The 8,003-nt window shown below is 38.8% G+C and overlaps 1 annotated feature.

The window, feature by feature from the left end:
• Positions 4,306-4,807: an enhancer, noted in NCBI's record as "H3K4me1 hESC enhancer chr1:80409277-80409778 (GRCh37/hg19 assembly coordinates)". NCBI's record gives its function as "activates a minimal SCP1, AML or CMV promoter by ChIP-STARR-seq in naive H9 embryonic stem cells {active_cell/tissue: H9 hESC(naive)}" and the evidence as "EXISTENCE:reporter gene assay evidence [ECO:0000049][PMID:30033119]".

Below are 8,003 nucleotides of genomic sequence, written 5' to 3'. Positions count from 1 at the left end.
ATATGAACGCAAGCATTTAGTATTCTGCCTACCACACAGTCAGCAGCATTTCAAACTATTATTCTTTGGGAGTCTCCAAAGTAAATACAACTCTTTTGAATTTGCTGTTGAATATCTGTTCCTGTATTGAATTAATAAATACGTTTGCTAAAATTGTTCTTTAAATATGTAGATTATTTTTAATAGCTATTTCTTGTTATGAAGACACATAATATTTACTCTTTTATAATATCCTACCATAGATATAGTGCCCACATGTGACCACTATACCTACTGTCCTACTGTATCAGTACTTTGGGTCTATTTTAGACTATTTTCCTCCAATTGATTGAGCCATAGGTATAGATGTTTGGGTTTAATCATTGGGATACATTTTAAAATGAATCCACTTTTATTATTTTACTGTATTTAATTGTATTAACTTTGTTCTGTTAAATACATCTTTCTACTTATGTCTTATCCTTACTTCATCTAAATCAAAATAACTTTAAATTTTAAAAAATTGTTTTATTTTGAATCAGTTAATAAAAGTGCTTTTTTTCTTTTTTCTATGCTAGATTGCCCATATATATATATATATATATATTTTTTTTTTTTTTTAATTCTTTGACTAGGGAATCTAATCAGATAATTAAAGATAATCAAAATATATATATTTTTGATTCTCTAATCAGAGAATCAAAAAAATTGATGTGTGATATTCAGTATATCAAAAATTTGATATCAAATTTGATATAAATTTGATGTCAAATTTTTGATATACTGCATATCACACATCAATTTTTTTTGATATGTGTATATATATATATACATACATATATATATATATATTTTTTTTTTGAGATGGAGTTCTGCTCTTCTTGCCCAAGCTGGAAAGCAATGGCGAGATCTTGGCTCACAGCAACCTCCACCTCCCAGGTTCAAGAGATTCTCCTGCCTCAGCCTCCCAAGTACCTGGGATTACAGGTGCATGTCACCACACCTGGCTAATTTTTTGTATTTTTATTAGAAACAGGGTTTCACCATGTTAGCCAGGCTGGTCTTGAACTCCTGACCTCAAGTGATCCACCTGCTTTGGCCTCCCAAAGTGCTGGGATTACAGGCGTGAACCACCACGCCCAGCCTATATTGTTTTATAACACTTAACTACCCTAACATTCAAAACAATACTTCAGTCTGCATATATTTATCATGATTTATTTGAGAAAATTAATATTTTAGCAGGTCCAGTGAGGTCATAAATGAACATGGCTGGATCCTTTGCCTTAAGGATCTTACAAACATTCTTGAAAGAACAGAATGATATCTTTCCAAACCCATTTCTCTTATCACACATCAAGCATAAGTTAGCTTCATAAATGTATACAGATTGTCTGTCGCTTATCTGAAATGGTTAAGACTGGAAGTGTTTCTGATTTTGGAATTTTTTGAATTTTGGAATAGTTGCATATAAATGATAAAATATTTCAGGGATAAAGACCCAATTTAAACACAAAATTTATTCATTTTTTTTATAAGTCTTACATAACATGAAGGTAATTTTATATAATATTTTATTTATTTTATTTTATTTTATTTATTTTGAGATGGAATCTTGCTCTGTTGCCCAGGCTGAAGTGCAATGCCGTGATCTTGGCTCACTGCAACCTCCCTCTCCCGGTTCAAGTGATTCTCCTGCCTCAGCCTCCCATGTGACTGGGGTTACAGGCACTTGCCACCATGCCTGGCTAATTTTTTTATTTTTAATAGAGACAGGGTTTCCCATGTTGGCCAGGGTAGTCTCGAATGCCCAACCTCAAGTGATCCACCCACCTCGGCCTCCCAAAGTGCTGGGATTACAGGCATGAACCACCACGCCCAGGCCTTATATAATACTTTAAATAATTTTGTGCTTGAAACAAAGTTTGTGTACACTGAACCATCAGAAAGCAAAGGTATCATTTTCTCAGCCACCCATGTGAATGATATGTGGATGTTTGACATCACTGTCATTCCTAACTCTAAATTTATATGCTACTGATAAGCAATCATTTTCTTATACTTATTCAGACATAAGTACTTAACAGTTAAAAAAGATATGTCATTAATAGAGTAAAAAAATAATGTGTTGAGAGTAACTAAGCAGCACAGTAGCATCACCAGAATACCTGTATCAGCTGTTAAACAACCACAACAACAAACAACACAGGCTTTCAGTATCTACCTACAGTGCTGTGATTTGATTAAAAGGCTACTGTACACTGTGTTTTATTTTGTTAGATGAGAAGAAACATCAGAAGTAGTTGAGGGACCAGGAAATTGGTCCTCTTTATGAGGAGGCATTCTGCTGGGTGGCTTTTTCTTAATGTTTCCTCCAGAGTAATCTGCCTTGTTAATAATGACTTCTGTCTCTCTTTGATTCTATAAACTAACATGATTTCTTTTTCTATTATGAAGGACATGCTGATCTAGTCCTTCAATGAGCCCATCACACATTTTCACTATGTCATGCACAGGCACTTTCTCTGTAGTTTAACATCATCATCTTCATTACTATAATCAAAATTACCTTGACAGATTTCACCATCAGTCAATAAATAAACAACTGGAGACTCATTATCAATATTGAAAACTCCAAGTCCACTTCTTCCAGTTTACTGATGGATTCTGAGGGTGTATTATTTGCATGTGTAAGAAGATCAAGCATCATTTTTTTTTCTCACTTGATCTACAGAATCCTTCAAATTACTACTTTTTGTATTATCATCTGTGACTGAACATAGTCACAGGCCAGAGGTTGTGCCAGGCATGCATAACTGTGCCTTTAGTCATTGTGTTCCAAGCATTGGCAATAGCACATGTGGCATCCTTCATGCTAAATGTCTTTTAAAAGTCTTCTACACCCACACCTCTGTTCATTGCTGCCAGCATGCTACTCAAGATGGCATTTACACTTTATTGATTTAAGGATACCATGGTCAGATGTTTGAGTTAATGAAATCACATTTGAGGAAAAGTAGATGACATACACATATTTTTTATAAGAATTTCAACTGGATGATGAGCAGAATCAATATCAAGGAATAAAAGGAATAAAATAAAAAAACTTGCAGTAATCATCCAGTCCATCTTCCCTGCAGTGTCCATGAGCTGCTAGTGCAAAATGTTTAAGAAACCAGAGAAAATGTCCCTGGTGATCTATGCCTTTTGTTAGTATGATAATTGACTGGTAAGAAATTCACTCCTTAAAAAGAGTGAGGATGCAAATTTTTGCCCATCACAACTAGTTTACACTTATGTGTGCCTGCTGCACTAGCACAGCCCAGCACAGTTATTCTATCCTTGGCATCCTTAATTATCAGGGGCTGTCTCTTCAGCTACAGTCATCAGCATTATAGACTTGCTCTGGTGTCACATTTTCATCAGTGATGACCTTAGAAAACTTGTCAGTTTCTTCACTGCTTTATGATCAGCAAATGGTTTATCACTACAAATCATTAAAAATTTAATGCCATCTATATTCTTAAATTTCTGCAACCAATAGTAATATTGAATATTTGCAGTTCCCTTTAATTTTAAGTTCATTGTGATAGATCTTTGCTTGTTTTGTGAGCTTGTGTTCACTGCTATACTGACAGGTCTACTCTTTCAATACACAATCTTCATTTTTAAGTTTATGTAGCTTTAATTTTTTTATTAGCTTCTGTTCATCACTTTCAGCGTAGAACTCCAACAGTTTATCCTGTTTTATCAGAGCATATATAGTGATCATTCCAACACCATAATCTCCTATAAGACATTTCACATGCCATTGTCTGGTTTCTCCAATAGCTTGACTTCTTGTGCTATAAACATAAGTGCTTTTTCTTTTTCTTATTACTGTTACCCACAGGGATATCTGCAGGTCTTTGTCACATTTTCAACAATATTTTTTACATCACAGAACAGTGGAGAATAAAAAAAATAAAAAATCAACAACAGGGGGGAGGAGCCAAGATGGGGGGGAGGAGCCAAGATGGCCGAATAGGAACAGCTCCGGTCTACAGCTCCCAGTGTGAGCGACGCAGAAGAAGGGTGATTTCTGCATTTCCATCTGAGGTACCGGGTTCATCTCGCTAGGGAGTGCCAGACAGTGGGCGCAGGTCAGTGGGTGCGCACACTGTGCGCGAGACGAAGCAGGGCGAGGCATTGCCTCACTTGGGAAGCTCAAGGGGTCAGGGAGTTCCCTTTCCGAGTCAAAGAAAGGGGTGATGGACGCACCTGGAAAATCGGATCACTCCCACCCGAATACTGCGCTTTTCCGACCAGCTTAAAAAACGGCGCACCACGAGATTATATCCCGCACCTGGCTCGGAGGGTCCTATGCCCACGGAGTCTCGCTGATTGCTAGCACAGCAGTCTGAGATCAAACTGCAAGGTGGCAGCAAGGCTGGGGGAGGGGCGCCCACCATTGCCCAGGCTTGCTTAGGTAAATAAAGCAGCCAGGAAGCTCGAACTGGGTGGAGCCCACCACAGCTCAAGGAGGCCTGCCTGCCTCTGTAGGCTCCACCTCTGAGGCAGGGCACAGACAAACAAAAAGACAGCAGTAACCTCTGCAGACTTAAATGTCCCTGTCTGACAGCTTTGAAGAGAGCAGTGGTTCTCCCAGCACGCAGCTGGAGATCTGAGAATGGGCAGACTGCCTCCTCAAGTGGGTCCCTGACCCCTCACCCCCGAGCAGCCTAACTGGGAGGCACCCCCCAGCAGGGGCACACTGACACCTCACACGGCAGGGTATTCCAACAGACCTGCAGCTGAGGGTCCTGTCTGTTAGAAGGAAAACTAACAAACAGAAAGGACATCCACACCAAAAACCCATCTGTACATCACCATCATCAAAGACCAAAAGTAGATAAAACCACAAAGATGGGGAAAAAACAGAACAGAAAAACTGGAAACTCTAAAAAGCAGAGCGCCTCTCCTCCTCCAAAGGAACACAGTTCCTCACCAGCAACGGAACAAAGCTGGATGGAGAATGACTTTGACGAGCTGAGAGAAGAAGGCTTCAGACGATCAAATTACTCTGAGCTATGGGAGGACATTCAGACCAAAGGCAAAGAAGTTGAAAACTTTGAAAAAAATTTAGAAGAATGTATAACTAGAGTAACCAATACAGAGAAGTGCTTAAAGGAGCTGATGGAGCTGAAAACCAAGGCTCGAGAACTACGTGAAGAATGCAGAAGCCTCAGGAGCTGATGCGATCAACTGGAAGAAAGGGTATCAGCAATGGAAGATGAAATGAATGAAATGAAGTGAGAAGGGAAGTTTAGAGAAAAAAGAATAAAAAGAAATGAGCAAAGCCTCCAAGAAATATGGGACTATGTGAAAAGACCAAATCTACGTCTGATTGGTGTACCTGAAAGTGATGGGGAGAATGGAACCAAGTTGGAAAACACTCTGCAGGATATTATCCAGGAGAACTTCCCCAATCTAGCAAGGCAGGCCAATGTTCAGATTCAGGAAATACAGAGAATGCCACAAAGATACTCCTCGAGAAGAGCAACTCCAAGACACATAATTGTCAGATTCACCAAAGTTGAAATGAAGGAAAAAATGTTAAGGGCAGCCAGAGAGAAAGGTTGGGTTACCCTCAAAGGGAAGCCCTTCTGACTAACAGTGGATCTCTCGGCAGAAACCCTACAAGCCAGAAGAGAGTGGGGGCCAATATTCAACATTCTTAAAGAAAAGAATTTTCAACCCAGAATTTCATATCCAGCCAAACTAAGCTTCATAAGTGAAGGAGAAATAAAATACTTTACAGACAAGCAAATGCTGAGAGATTTGGTCACCACCAGGCCTGCCCTAAAAGAGCTCCTGAAGGAAGTGCTAAACATGGAAAGGAACAACCGATACTAGCCGCTGCAAAATCATGCCAAAATGTAAAGACCATCGAGACTAGGAAGAAACTGCATCAACCAAAGAGCAAAATAACCAGCTAACATCATAATGACAGGATCAGATTCACACATAACAATATTAACTTTAAATGTAAATGGACTAAATGCTCCAATTAAAAGACACAGACTGGCAAATTGGATAAAGAGTCAAGACCCATCAGTGTGCTGTATTCAGGAAACCCATCTCGACGTGCAGAGACACACATACGCTCAAAATGAAAGGATGGAGGAAGATCTACCAAGCCAATGGAAAACAAAAAAAGGCAGGGGTTGCAATCCTAGTCTCTGATAAAACAGACTTTAAACCAACAAAGATCAAAAGAGACAAACAAGGCGATTACATAATGGTAAAGGGATCAATTCAACAAGAAGAGCTAACTATCCTAAATATATATGCACCCAATACCGGAGCACCCAGATTCATAAAGCAAGTCCTGAGTGACCTACAAAGAGACTTAGACTCCCACACATTAATAATGGGAGACTTTAACACCCCACTGTCAACATTAGACAGATCAACGAGACAGAAAGTCAACAAGGATACCCAGGAATTGAACTCAGCTCTGCACCAAGCAGACATAATAGACATCTACAGAACTCTCCACCCCAAATCAACAGAATATACATTTTTTTCAGTACCACACCACACCTATTCCAAAATTGACCACATACTTGGAAGTAAAGCTCTCCTCAGCAAATGTAAAAGAATAGAAATTATAACGAACTATCTCTCATACCACAGTGCAATCAAACTAGAACTCAGGATTCAGAATCTCACTCAGAACCGCTCAACTACATGGAAACTGAACAACCTGCTCCTGAATGACTACTGGGTACATAACGAAATGAAGGCAGAAATAAAGATGTTCTTTGAAACCAATGAGAACAAAGACACAACATACCAGAATCTCTGGGACACATTCAAAGCAGTGTTTAGAGGGAAATTTATAGCACTAAATGCCCACAAGAGAAAGCAGGAAAGATCCAAAATTGACACCCTAACATCACAATTAAAAGAACTAGAAAAGCAAGAGCAAACACATTCAAAAGCTAGCAGAAGGCAAGAAATAACTAAAATCAGAGCAGAACTGAAGGAAATAGAGACACAATAAACCCTTCAAAAAATTAATGAATCCAGGAGCTGGTGTTTTGAAAAGATCAACAAAATTGATAGACCGCTAGCAAGATTAATAAAGAAAAAAAGAGAGAAGAATCAAATAGACGCAATAAAAAATGATAAAGGGGATATCACCACCGATCCCACAGAAATACAAACTACCATCAGAGAATACTACAAACACCTCTACGCAAATAAACTAGAAAATCTAGCAGAAATGGATAAATTCCTCGACACATACACTCTCCCAAGACTAAACCAGGAAGAAGTTGAATCTCTGAATAGACCAATAACAGGATCTGAAATTGTGGCAATAATCAATAGCTTACCAACCAAAAAGAGTCCAGGACCAGATGGATTCACAGCCGAATTCTACCAGAGGTACAAGGAGGAACTGGTACCATTCCTTCTGAAACTATTCCAATCAATAGAAAAAGAGGGAATCCTCCCTAACTCATTTTATGAGGCCAGCATCATTCTGATACCAAAGCCGGGCAGAGACACAACCAAAAAAGAGAATTTTAGACCAATATCCTTGATGAACATTGATGCAAAAATCCTCAATAAAATACTGGCAAAATGAATCCAGCAGCACATCAAAAAGCTTATCAACCAAGATCAAGTGGGCTTCATCCCTGGGATGCAAGGCTGGTTCAATATACGCAAATCAATAAATGTAATCCAGCATATAAACAGAGCCAAAGACAAAAACCACATGATTATCTCAGTAGATGCAGAGAAGGCCTTTGACAAAATTCAACAACCCTTCATGCTAAAAACTCTCAATAAATTAGGTATTGATGGGATGTATTTCAAAATAATAAGAGCTATCTATGACAAACCCACAGCCAATATCATACTGAATGGGCAAAAACTGGAAGCATTCCCTTTGAAAACTGGCACAAGACAAGGATGCCCTCTCTCACCACTCCTTTTCAACATAGTGTTGGAAGTTCTGGCCAGGGCAATTA

This window comes from Homo sapiens, chromosome 1, assembly GCF_000001405.40.
Source record: "Homo sapiens chromosome 1, GRCh38.p14 Primary Assembly".
NCBI classification, from domain to species: Eukaryota; Metazoa; Chordata; class Mammalia; order Primates; family Hominidae; genus Homo; species Homo sapiens.
This window is presented reverse-complemented; position numbering and strand designations above follow the sequence as displayed.